The sequence below is a fragment of the Homo sapiens genome, chromosome 5 (genome assembly GCF_000001405.40).
Source record: "Homo sapiens chromosome 5, GRCh38.p14 Primary Assembly".
Classification (NCBI taxonomy): Eukaryota; Metazoa; Chordata; class Mammalia; order Primates; family Hominidae; genus Homo; species Homo sapiens.
The window spans coordinates 32,538,699-32,551,866 of record NC_000005.10 but is presented as its reverse complement, the minus strand read 5'-3'; the positions used below and the strand labels follow the sequence as shown (position 1 = coordinate 32,551,866).

General features: G+C 44.4%; 1 long non-coding RNA gene across 3 annotated transcripts in view, besides 2 other annotated features; it reads right to left on the bottom strand.

Annotated features, from left to right (window-relative positions):
* LOC124900954 (uncharacterized) overlaps positions 1-13,168 on the bottom strand; it is a 65,808-nt gene that overhangs the window by 19,866 nt on the left and 32,774 nt on the right. The gene's annotated exons all lie outside the window — the stretch shown is intronic.
* Positions 8,862-8,921: an enhancer, noted in NCBI's record as "active region_22449". NCBI's record gives its function as "activates an Ori minimal core promoter by ATAC-STARR-seq in GM12878 lymphoblastoid cells {active_cell/tissue: GM12878}" and the evidence as "EXISTENCE:reporter gene assay evidence [ECO:0000049][PMID:35858748]".
* Positions 9,292-9,491: an enhancer, noted in NCBI's record as "active region_22448". NCBI's record gives its function as "activates an Ori minimal core promoter by ATAC-STARR-seq in GM12878 lymphoblastoid cells {active_cell/tissue: GM12878}" and the evidence as "EXISTENCE:reporter gene assay evidence [ECO:0000049][PMID:35858748]".

The window sequence follows — 13,168 nt, the reverse complement described above, 5'->3', positions numbered from 1 at the left end:
AAACAACAATGCAATCAGGATAATCAACAACCAGACTTGTCCATAGGCCAGCGTTCTGCTCCTGGTCTCCCACCTCTCCTCATATCTATCTGTACGACATTGGTTAAGACACAAGCTGGAGGCCTGGGGGCCTTGTAAAAATAGCAATGGAAAGGATGGAGAGCATCAGGTGAGAATTCTTCATCCTTTCTACTTACGAATTTTATTCTAGCTCTATTAGTGGGGTAAAAGTGTATTACAGCAGATGACTACCATTTCAAATGTGGGCCCCGGCAAGCCCTGTCCTGATCTGTGAAGACCAAGGCCAGCTACTCCAACCCTGCAAGTCAGGCTAACAAGATCGGGCTAATCTCATCCTCTGTTGAAAGTAAGAACACAGGCTTCAGAGTGAAAGATACGCAGCCAGGCTTTCAACTCTGTCCTGAAGACATTTGGCAAATCACTGAGGTGTTGCACTTTCCTCCCCTGGAAGATGGTGCAACAATCTATCTAACTCAAAGGGCTGTTGAAAGGACTGAATGAGAGAACAAGTTAAGTAAGCACTCAGCACAGTGCCTGGTACAAGATAATTGCTTAATAAATGTTGAAGTTCAAATTATGATTTAAATGGATTGTAAGATTGAGGCAAGGACTGTCTAATATCTTGTTCACACGTTTCTTTTACTGATAGCCCACCCTCTTGCCCACCGAGCACAGTGGGTCAGATGTCAATTAAGAATGAAGGAATGCCAGGCCACGCGCGGTGGCTCATGCAAGTAATCCCAGCACTTTGGGAGGCTGAGGTAGGTGGATCACTTGTGCTTAGGAGTTCAAGGTCAGCCTGGGCAACACGGTGAAACTCCATCTCTACAAAAAATACAAAAATTAGCCAGGCATGGTGGCAGGCACCTGTAGTCCCAGCTACTCGAGAGGCTGAGGTGGGAGGATTGCTTAAGCCCAGGAGGCCAAGTCTGCAGTGATCTGCAATCGCACCACTGCACTCCAGCCTGGGTGACAGAGTGAGACCATGTCGCAAAAAAAAAGAATGAATGAATGCCATCTACACACATTAGGATGGCTATAATCCAAAAGAAAAGGAAGAGAAAAGAAGAGAAGGGAAGGGAAGGGAAGGGAAGAGAAAAGAAGAGAAGAACAAGTGTTCAGACGTCTGGAAGAAATTGGAACCTTTGTGTTGATGCGAATGCAAAATGGTGCAGCTGCTATAGAAAACAGTATGGAAGTTCCCCACAAAGTTAAAAATAGAACTACCATATGATGCAGCAATTCCACTTCTGGGTATATACCAAAAAAAGAATTGCAAGGAGGAGCCGGATGTGGTGGCTCACACCTGTAATCCCAGCACTTTGGGAGGCCGAGGCAGGCAGATCACTTGAGGTCAGGTCACCAGCCTGGTCAACATGGCAAAACCCCTCTGTACTAAAAATACAAAAAACAATTAGCCAAGTGTGGCGGTGCATGCCTGTAGTCCCAGCTACTCTGGGGGCTGAGGTGGGAGGATAACTTGAACCCGGGAGGTGGAGGTTGCAGTGAGCCAAGATCGTGCCACTGCACTACAGCCTGGGCAACAGAGTGAGACCCTGTCTCAAAACATAAAATGAAACAAGAATTGAAAGGAGGGGCTTGAACAGATATTTGTACACCCTTGTTCATAGCAGCATTATTCCCAGTAGCCAAAAGGTGGAAGCAATCTGAATGTTCACTGATGGATGAATAGATAACCTGCGGTATATACATATAATGGAGTATTACCCTTAAAAGGGAAGGAAATTCTAACACATGCTACAACATGGAGGAACCTAGAGGAGATAATGCTAAGTGAAGTAAGCCAGTCACAAAAAGACAGATATGCATGATTTCGCTTATACGAGGACCTAGAATAGATCATAGAGACAGTAGTACCATGGTTGACAGGGGCTGGTTTGAGGAGTTATTTAATAGGTACAGAGTGTCAGTTTTGCAAGATGAAAAGAGTTCTAGAGATTGGTTGAACAACAGCATGAATGTACTTAACCCTACTGAAGTGTACACTTAAAAATGGGTAAGATGGCAAATTTTGTGTTATGTGTATTTATCACAATTAAAATTTTTTAATAAAGAGGAATGAATGAATGTGTTGACATATGCTATACCATAAATAAACCTTGAAAACATTAGATTAAGTGAAAGAAGCCAGATGAAAAAGACGACTATTGTATTCTTCTATTTACGTGAAATATCAGAAATAGGCAAACCCATAGAAACAGAAAGTAGTTTAGTAGTTGCCAGGAGTTGAGAGGAAGGAGGAATGAGGGATGAGTGCTAATGGGTACAAGGTATCTTTTTGGGGTGATGAAAATATTCTAAAATTAGATAGTAATGATGCCAACTCTATGAATATATAAATATCACTGAATTGTATAAAAGCATACCTCAGAGATATTTTGTGTTCAGTTACAGACCACTACAGTAAAGCAAATACTGCAGTAAAACATGTCACATAACTCACACCTGTAATCCCAGCACTTTGGGAGGCCAAGGCAGGCGGATCACCTGAGGTCAGGAGTTCGAGACCAGCCTGGCCAACATGGTGAAACCCCGTCTGTACTAAAAATACAAAAATTAGCTGGGCATGGTGGCACGCACCCGCAATCCCAGCTCTTTGGGAGGCTGAGGTGAGAGAATCACTTGAACCCAGGAGGTGGAGGTTGCAGTAAGCCAAGATCGTGCCACCGCATTACACCCTGGGCGACAGAGTGAGACCCTGTCTCAAAAAAAAACCAAAATTATTTCCCACTACACATGAAAGTTACGTCTATACTATACTGTAGTCTATTAAGTATGGAATAGCATTTTGTCTTTAAAAACAATGTACATACATTAATTTAAAAGTAATTTATTGTTGGCTGGGCACAGTGGCTCATGCCTGTAATCGAAGCACTTTGGGGGGCCGAGACGGGCAGATCGCATGAGGTCAGGGGTTTGAGACCAGCCTGGCCAACGTGATGAAACCCTGTTTCTACTGAAAATACAAAAATTAGCCGGGCATAGTGGCACATGCATGTAATCGCAGCAACTCGTGAGGCTAAGACAGGAGGATTGCTGGAACCCAGGAGGCAGAGGTTGCAGTGAGCCAAGATCGTACCACTGCACTCCAGCCTCTGTGACAGAGTGAGACTCCATCTCAAAATAATAATAATAGTTTATTGCTAAAAATGCTAACAATCTTCTGAGCCTTCAGCAAGTCATAATCTTTTTGTAGGTGGAGGGTCCTGCCTTGATGCTGATGGCTTCTGATTGATCAGGGTGGTGGCCCCTGATGGTTGTGGTGGCTGTGGCAATTTTTTTTAAGTAAGACAATATGAAGTTTGTCATATTGATTAGTCCTTTCATGGAAGATTTTTCTGTAGCATGTGATGCTGTTTGATTTTACCCACAGTAGAACTTCTTTCAAAATTGGAGTCACTCAAGCCTGGCTGCTGCTTTATCAACTAAATTTCTGTGGTGTTCTAAATTCTTTGTTGTGATTTCAACAATGTTCACAGCATCTTTACCAAGAGTAGATGCCACTGCAAGAAACCACTGTCTTTGCACATTCATAAGAAGCAACTCCAGGCCATGTGCAGTGGCTCAGGAGAAGGAGAAGAAGGAGAAGGAGAAGGAGAAGGAAAAACTCCTCGTCTGTTCAAGTTTTATCATGAGATTGCAGCAATTCAGTCACATCTTCAGGCTCTTGCTATTTCTACCACATCTGTAGTGACTTTCTCCACTAAAGCCCTGAACCGCTCAACGTCATCTGTAAGGATTGGAATCACCTTCTTCCATAGTTAATGTAGCTATTTTGACCTCCTCTCATGAATCATGAATTTTTTTGAGATGGGGTCTCACTCTGTTGCTCAGGCTGGAGTGCAATGGCACAATCACAGCTCACTGCAGCCTTGACCTCCCAGGCTCAAGCAATTCTCCCACCTCAGCCTCCTGAGTAGCTGGGACTACAGGCATGCACCACCATGTCCAGTTGATTGTTTCAATTTCTAGTAGAGACAGGTTCTCACTATGTGGCTCAGGCTGAGCTCAAGCAATCCTCCCACCTCAGCCACCCAAACTGCTAATATTACAGGTGTGAACCACTGTACCCAGCCAGAAGCCTCTTTTTCTAATCTTAATCTCTATGTGGTAGCTAAAAGAATTGTTACATTCTTAATAGCATCTACGATGGTGAATTCTTTTCAGAAAGTTTTCAATTTACTTTGCCCAGATCCATCAGAGGAATTACCACCTATGGCAGCTATAGCCTTAGAAAATGTGTTTCTTAAATAATGAGACTCAAAAGTTGAAATTATTCCTTGATCCATGGCCTACAGAATGGATATTTTGTTAGCAGGCATGAAAACATTAATCTCCTTGTACTTCTCCATCAGAGCTTTTGAGTGACTAGGCACATTGTCAATAAGCAATAATATTTTGAAAGAAATCTTTCTGTCTGAACAGTAGGTCTCAATAGTGCACTTAAAATATTCAGTAAACTATGCTATAAACAAATATTCTGTCACTCAGACTTTGTCTGAGCATGGGCAGAGTAGATGTAGCATAAATCTTAAAGACCTTGGGATTTTTGGAATGATAAATGAGCATTGGCTTCATCTTGAAATCAGCAGCCACATTAGCCCCTAATAAGAGGGCCACCCTGTCCTTGGAAGCTTTGAGGCCAGACATTGACTTCTCTCTAGCTATGAAAGTCCTAGGTGGCTGTTTCATCTACATTGAAAATTTATTGGCCGAGTGCAATGGCTCACACCTGTAATGCCGGCACTTTGGGAGGATGAGGCAAAAGGATCACTTGAGGCCAGGAGTTCAAGACCAGCCTAGACAACATAGCATCTAGATAATATCTCTACAAAAAAAAAATAAAATTAGCCAGGGCTGAGCACAGTGGCTCACACCTGTAGTCTTAGCACTCTGAGAGGCCCAAACGGGTGGATCTCTTAAGCTCAGGAATTCAAGGCCAGCCTGAGCAACATGGCAAAATCCCATCTCTACAAAAAATACAAAAAATTATCTGAACATGGTGGCATGGATAATTGTCTGTGGTCCCAGCTACTCAGAAGGCTGAGGTGGAAGGTTCACTTGAAACTGGAAGGCAGAGGTTGCAGTTAGCCGAGATCACACCACTACACTCCAGCCTGGGTGACAGAGTAAGACTCGGTCTCAAAAAAAAACAAAAAACAAAAAACAAAAAAACACATTGTTTAGAAAAGTGGCATTGATAGACTTTCTCCAAGGTTTGTTGCCACAAACCTTCAATTTGTAAAAAACAAACACAGTATCTGCAAAGCACAGTAAAAAAAGGTATGCCTATAATTTAAAAGGTTAACTTTTGGCTGGGCACAGTGGCTCACGCCTGTAATCCGAGCACTTTTGGGAGGCCAAGGCAGGCAGGTCGCTTGAGCCCAGGAGTTCAAGACCAGCCTGGGCAATATGGCAAAACCATGTCTCCACAAAAATACAAAAAATTACCTGCATGTAGTGGCGCTCTCCAGTAGTCCCAGCTACTCAGGAGACTGAGGCGGGAGGATCACCTGAGCCTGGGAAGTCAAGGCTGCAGTGAGCTATGATTGCACCACTGCACTCCAGCCTGGGTGACAGGAGTGATACTCTGTCTCAAAAAAAAAGGGGGGGTAACTTTTATCATAACTTTTATTAGGTATGAATTATATCTCAATAAAGCTATCATAAAAAATGAACAAAGGCCAGGCGCGGTGGCTCACACCTAAAATCCCAGCACTTTGGGAGGCTGAGGCAGGCGGATCACCTGTCAGAAGTTCGAGACCAGCCTGCTCAACATGGTGAAACCCGGTCTCTACTAAAGCACACAAAAACTAGCCATGTGTGGTGGCTCACATGTATAATCCCAGCTACTTGCGAAGCTGAAGCACAAGAATCGCTTGAATCCAGGAGGTGGAGGTTGCAGTTAACCAAGATAGTGCCACTGCACTCCAGCCTGGGAGACAGAGTGACTCTGTCTCAAAAAAAAAAAAAAAAAAAAAAAAAAGAACAAATGAGGTTCTAAATTATAAACAGATCATTGGGCTTGTTTTAATTCAGTGTCGATCTCAGCAGAAAGGAGGTTGTCCTGAGTGACCACGAAACTTTGAGATTTGCTACGAAACACCTGCCAAGGGCTGCAAAAAGCCCTAGGCTTTTGCAACTTACCGTAGGACCCACGCTTATCTGGAGCCACAGGATTATCTAACTATACAGTCTCTTTAGGGCATTCGGGCTACAGGCAGCACATCTCTTCCCCTAGAAACGCCCTACAGGGAATTCAGTTTACTACTTGCCATTATAATGGTGTAATTGCATGCTATGCATGGATAATGTGCAAAAACAATCACCAGAGAGTATAAACAAACAGCTGGTGAGCAACCTCGCTGCAAAATGCTAAAGGCAAACTTGAAAAGTTTTGGTTTTTTTTAATTAGTTTTTAAAACCTGATGTGGTTGTCCCAAATGTGCAGCAGAGCATATGTGGCAGCTCGGAAGCAACAGAGACACGTTCTGTAAAATGGCACATTGTCAGAACCATTCACAGGAGAAAACCCGAAGGCAGTGACGAGGCTGAAAGTGGAACCACAATTCACTGGCAGGCCTTTATTCCCACCAATGATTCAAACTTTTCAGCTTAAAAACACCTTCTGTCCCCATAACACATTTTTGCACAGCATGTAAATTTCAAGTGGCTTCTCCCAAAAATACCTTTCTCACCCACCCTAGAGGAGCCTGTAAGACTTATTCAAGAAGCTCTGCCCAAGGCTGGGAGTGGTGGCTCATGCCTGTAATCCCAGCACTTTGGGAGGCCAAGGCGGGTGGATCACCTGAGGTCGGGAGTTCGAGACCAGCCTGATCAACATGGAGAAATTCTGTCTCTACTCAAAATACAAAATTAGCCAGGCATGGTGGCACATGCCTGTAATCCCAGCTACTCGGGAGGCTGAGGCAGGAGAATTGCTTGAACTCAGGAGGCAGAGGTTGCTGTGAGCCGAGATCGCACCATTGCACTCCAGCATGGGCAACAAAGCAAACTCCGTCTCGGAAAAAAAAAAAAAAAAAAGAAGCTCTGCCCAGTCAAGGCGACTGTGCTGGTTGTCCGGGGGCTAATGTGCAGGGCATTTCTAGTCCCCCAAGATCATCAGCCCACATTGCACAAGGACCTAGAGCTGTATTTTGAATAGCCTAAATGGACCTTCTAGAACCGAGTCTTGGGGGGAAAAAATTGAAATATTTGAAACTTACCTGACCAGGCACGGTGGCTCATGCCTGTAATCCCAACACTTAGGGAAGCCAAGGCAGGAGGATCACTTGAGCCCAGGAGTTCAATACCAGCCTGGGCAACATAGTGAGACCTCATCTCTACAAAAATTTTTTAAAAATTAGCGGGGTATGGTGGCATGCACACACCTATAGCCCCAGCTACTCAGGAGGCTGAGATGTGTGGATCGCTTGAGCCCAGGAAGTTGAGGCTGAAGTGAGCTATAATGGTGCCACTGTACCCCAGCCTGGGTGACAAAGTGAGACCCTGTCTCAAAAAAAAAAAGAAAAAAGAAAAGAAAAAGAACTTACCAAACCATCATTATAGCAGAAATATAAGCATATGTAAACAATTCACGTGGCACTGAAAATAATGATGATTAGAAGCATATCAGGCGTAGTTTTGTTCATTGCCTATCTTTTCTGAGAAACTGGTAAATTCTTCAAGCCCCAGCAAGGAAAGGCAGAGTCTCAAACCTGACCAGGTTTGTCATCTGAAGCCCACTATATTGGATATTCTTTCTGCCCTCTCCTGTGGGTTCTATCAGAGTCATGACAGGCTTTGAGCATTTTCTTAGTGCTTATCCACGGATCACTGGTTGGCTTCATTCTATGTGGTTGCTTCTTTCTTTTCTTTTTAAAAATTGAGATATGGGCTGGGTGCGGTGGCTCACACCTGTAAATCCCAGCACTTTGGGAGGCCAAGGTGGGTGGATCACTAGAGGTCAGGAGTTCAAGACCAGCCTTGCCAATATGGTGAAACCCTGTCTCTACTAAAATTAGAAAAATTAGCCAGGTGTGGTAGCAAGTGCCTGTAATCCCAGCTACTCAGTAGGTTGAGGCATGAGAATCCCTTGAACCCAGGAGGTGGAGGTTGCAGTGAGCAGAGATCACGCCACCGCACTCTAGCCTGGGCGGCAGAGTGAGACTGTCTCAAAAAAAAACAAAACAAAAAAAAAAAAAAACAGAGACAGAGAGAGAGAGAATCTATGTACCATAAAATTCACCCTTTTGAAGTGTCCAATTCAGTGACTTTCAGCATATTCACAAGATTGTAGCGCTATCACCACTATCACCTCAAAAAGAAATTCCATGTGCATTAGCAGTCATCCCATTTCCTACTTCTCCTGGTGCCTTGACACTACTAATCTAATTTCTGTTTCTTTTTTTTTTTTTTTTTTTTTTTTTTGAGACAGACTCTCGCTCTGTGGCCAAGCTGGAATGCAGTGGCACGATCTCGGCTCACTGCAACCTCCGCCTCTGGGTTCAAGCCATTCTCCTGCCTCAGCCTCCTGAGTAGATGGGACTACAGGCACACATCTCCACGCCCGACTAATATTTGTATTTTTGGTAGAGACAAGCTTTCGCCATGTTGGCCAGGCTGGTCTTGAACTCCTGACCTCAGGTGATCCACCCGCCTCAGCCTCCCAAAGTGTTGGGATTGCAGGCATGAGCCACTGCACCTGGCCTAATTTCTGTTTCTATAGATTTTCCTATTCTGGACATTTCATATAAAGGAATTCTATAATATGTGGTCTTTCATGTCTGGCCTCTTTCTTGGCATAATGTTCTCGTGGTTCACCCATGCTGTTGTGTGTGTCAGCACTTCATTTCTTTTTTTGGCTGAATAATATTCCACTGTATGGGTATACCATATTTTGCTTATCCATTCGTTGGTTAAGGGAGATTTGGGTTGTTTCCACTTTCTGGCTATTATGAATAACGCTTCTTTGAACTTTCATGTACAGGTTTTTGTGCAGACATACGTTTTCAGTTCTCTTGGGTATATACATAGCAGCGGAACTGATGAGTCATATGGTGACTCTGTGTTTAACGTTTTAAGGAGAACTGCCAGATCCACTGTGCCATTTTACATCTGTGGTTGCTTTTGGCTGTGGCATGGTGGGGCCTTTTCTTGGCTTCTGCCTTTTGTGCTCCTCGTTATCCCACCTGAGCCTCAAGTGGCAACACGCTTCCAGGAATGTCTTGTTTTCTCCTCAAACTTACTCCCAATCAAAGTGAAGTGACCTGTTCCCAAGCAAAGACAGACGAAAGAGAACAAAAATGCAGCAGGGTCCAGCTGCACACCCAACATTGAGCTCCACAATGTATGTGTTCAGTTCTTTTCTTACTCACAGTAAGACTTGAGGTAGATGTCATTGTCTCCACTTTATCAACGAGGAAGTGGAAAAGGCTTCCAGGTTTGTCATTTGAACCCCACTGTGTTGGACATTCCTTCTGCCATCTTATAGTTTTATTGCTCTAAGCTCCTTCCCAAGAAAGCAGTTCTCAAACTGTGCATCACAGAACCTGATGGTACTTCAGGGGTTCAACAACAAACAGTATTTTCTTCTAAACAATGAGTGTTTAACATTCCTGAAAAATCCGCTCCTCATTTTTATCTGTCTTAGAGTTCAGTGGAAACCTTGTCAGTCATTTTCTTTTCTTTTTTTTTGGAGACAGAGTTTTGCTCTATCACCCAGGCTGGAGAGCAGTGGTGCAATCTTGGCTCACTGCAACCTCCGCCTCCAGGGTTTAAGCAATTCTCGTGCCTCAGCCTCCCGAGTAGCTGGGACTACAGGCGCACGCCACCATGCCCAGCTAATTTTTGTATTTTTAGTAGAGATGGGGGTTTCACCATGTTGGCCAGGCTGGTCTCAAATACCTAACCTCAAGTGACCTGCCCATCTCAGCCTCCCAAAGTGCTGGGATTGCAGGTGCCCAGCCACCTCGTCAGTCTTATTTACCACTTTTTGTCCAGGGCTTACAACAATACATGGCATACAGTAATTGTTCAATAAATATTTTTCTAGTTAATAAATTTTTCTCTGCTAAAAATTTGGGAAACCATTGTGCTAAGGCATTGCTTCGTAAACCCGACAAAGTCAAAACTTGCAATTTAACTTACTGTTAAATTGCCCATATAATATATTTTTTAAATATAGCTCATGAGGCCCTGCTGAATCAGACTCTTCAGGGTGGGTGTTGGCATTGCTGTTATGAATCTCCCCCGGTGATGCTGAAAGAGCTTTCTGCAGACCCTAGTTTGCAAGCCACTGCTCTGAGAGGTACTGGCTCTGCTTGGCCTCAGGGCCAGTGACATCTATGGTTACTTTCCCAGGCCTAAGAGATCTTACTCTGGCCCAGAGCCACAGTCAACAACTGTACAGTCTGGAATTTTTATCTGTATCTATTGTCATGACAGTCCACTGGCTATGGCTGGCTTCACTCTAACCATTAGACTTTTCTTTTCTTTTCTTTTCTTTTTTTCTGAGACAGAGTCTCGCTCTGCCGCAGTGGCACAATCTCATGTGACTGCAGTGGCACAATCTCCGCTCACTGCAACCTCCGCCTTCCGGGTTCAAGCAATTCTCCTGCCTCAGCCTCCCAAGTAGCTGGGATTACAGGCACCCACCACCATGCCCAGCAAATTTTTGTATTTTTAGTAGCGACAGGGTTTCACCATGCTGGCAAGACTGGTCTCGAACTCCTGACCTCAGGTGATCTGCCCACCTCGGCCTTCTAAAGTGCTGGGATTACAGGCATGAGCAACCGCGCCTGGCCACCATTAGACTTTTCAATGTGACTGCAAGCCTGAGGAGCACTACAAGCCAGTCTTTCCCTAGACCTCAACTGTAGACCTTCTTTCTTATTGTTAACTAGTAGCAATTAAAGCCATTCTGGATTGAATATCAGAAGTTCTCCATGACTGGAGAAAAGAATCTCACCACTTCTAACACCCTGTAATTCTTCCCTCTTACCCCCAACCCCCGCTCACCAAGGACTTGAGGGATAAGCTTATGCCATGCAACGGGGTTCCCCTTTCCCCTCCACCTATAGAAAGTGGCAGTAGGTCCCATAGATTCAGTTCTTCTTTCAAGGTCAAGGACAGTGTAGGAAATGGTAACATCTTCCACTCCATTCCATTACACTGGGGCCACCCACTGATGGTGGCCCTAAAGAGAAAAAAGAACTCCTGACTCAATTTTACATGCTTGCTTCGAGTCCCACTTCCCCTTTTCTCCTAGGAGGAAGAAGGACTTTATCATACTAGCAAATCTGAAGATTATCTAAAGATATTCAATTATGTATCTATAGTCAGAGTAGACCCACAGTGTGAGGAAGACCAGGCTATGGCAGCAGGGCTGCCCCTTAGGCAGAGTGGGGGTAGAAGAGTGAGGGTGGGAATAGGGGTGTTGGCTGAGGAGATGGAAGGGGAAGCAGGAAGGCAGGGTAAATCTGGATGAGCATGAGATAGAGCCCAGTCAACAAAGCACAGTACCCATGAGGGTGCAGCAATCTCCAATCCCAGTGCAAGCAAATCACTGGCCCCAGGGACTTGAGAAGCCTCAAGATGGCCTCACAGGAGTGCAAAGGAAATAAAAATAGTCTCTCTAGCACTTTGCCACCCAAGGGGTGGTCCTCCAACCAGCAGTGGCAGCATCACCCAAGCGTTTGTTAGACATGCAGAATCTCACGTCCCACCACCTAACTTAACAAGACCTCAGCATGATTTGAATGCACATTAAAGTGCTCTGAACCAGCTTGAGAACAAGCACAACTCAGTATTAAAACACAGTAGATGGTTCAGCTGAGGCTGCGTCTAGGCAACTCTCAAGCTTTGATGCACATAAGAATTGCCTGGAAAGATTCTGATTCAGGCAGAATCAGAATTTTCGGGTGCAGAATTTGGGTAGGGCACAAGAATCTATATTTTTAGCAAATGCACAGATGATTCTGATTCCAGAGGTTCCAACTGCTTTACTTCTGAACAGAGGACATGAAGTTCCCACTTACGTGTGTGCAGAATAATATTTTAAATTCTTAACTCATTGTTTCCATGTATGTGTCTCTTTTGCTCATTGCCCACTTCCAGCAGATAGGCCATTTTGTGCCCGTTGCCATTTGGAAAGGGTGTAAGAAGACTGAAGTCTAAAGAACAGAGAGACAGACAGATAGACTTCTTCCTGACTGTGGCTCCCAAAAGCCTATAGCCTTTGGTTGTACTTGTACAATGCAAACAAATGCCAGTAGATAGACAGGCTATTAAGTGTGAGTCCCAGTGGATTAGGAACTCAGAATTCAGTTGCGGTAGAAAATAAAGAAAGCAGAATATGGAGTGAAAATTGCACCAGCTACATGGGAAGGTTGGCAGGAATTTAGCTCAAGAACATTCTTTTAAAGAGTCCCCTGGTGGGGCCCCTGGTGGGGCACCTCTGGTGCAGCAGACTCTCTCGGCACTACCTCCAACGTTTCTCCAGAGAATCCTGGGCTTTTCTACCAAATGTCCAATTTTCCTTATTCTTTCTTCATGTATTTTCTCTATTCTCCTCAACATTGCCTTTAATGGCCCATCAGGAGACACCACCATGACCCTTTCAAACTAGAGAACCCAAACAACAGCGGAGAAAACAGCGATTCTTTTGATCCACTTTCTCCCGGGCCAGGGAAAACCCAGTGTTTCAAAACACGTGCTTTCCCTACCATTCCTGGAGAGAGAATGAACCATGTGAGTCTTTCCTGGGTGAGGCCAGTTTCATGCCTGACCTGCTCTCCAATCAGCAGAGAAAAGGACAATGTTTCCCTATTAAAACCAGATGAACTTTCACAGCTACTCCCCAAATATTCTTATCAATGTCGTCCTTCACTGGAAGTTAGGGTGAAATATGTATTAGCGCTTGGCAGAAATGCCAGCTAATTGCAGCTAAGATAGTGTTGCAATTTCTACCCTCCTAAATTTCTCAACGGCAAAGTTCAGCTTTCCTAAAGCTTCGGGGTCTTTGCAACCTGAAATGTCAACCCCGCAAAGACCAATTCCTATGAAAAAGCATTTGCTCTGTAATTGGTTATGGAAATGGAACCTTTAAGTGAGCTTCTGGGAGTAA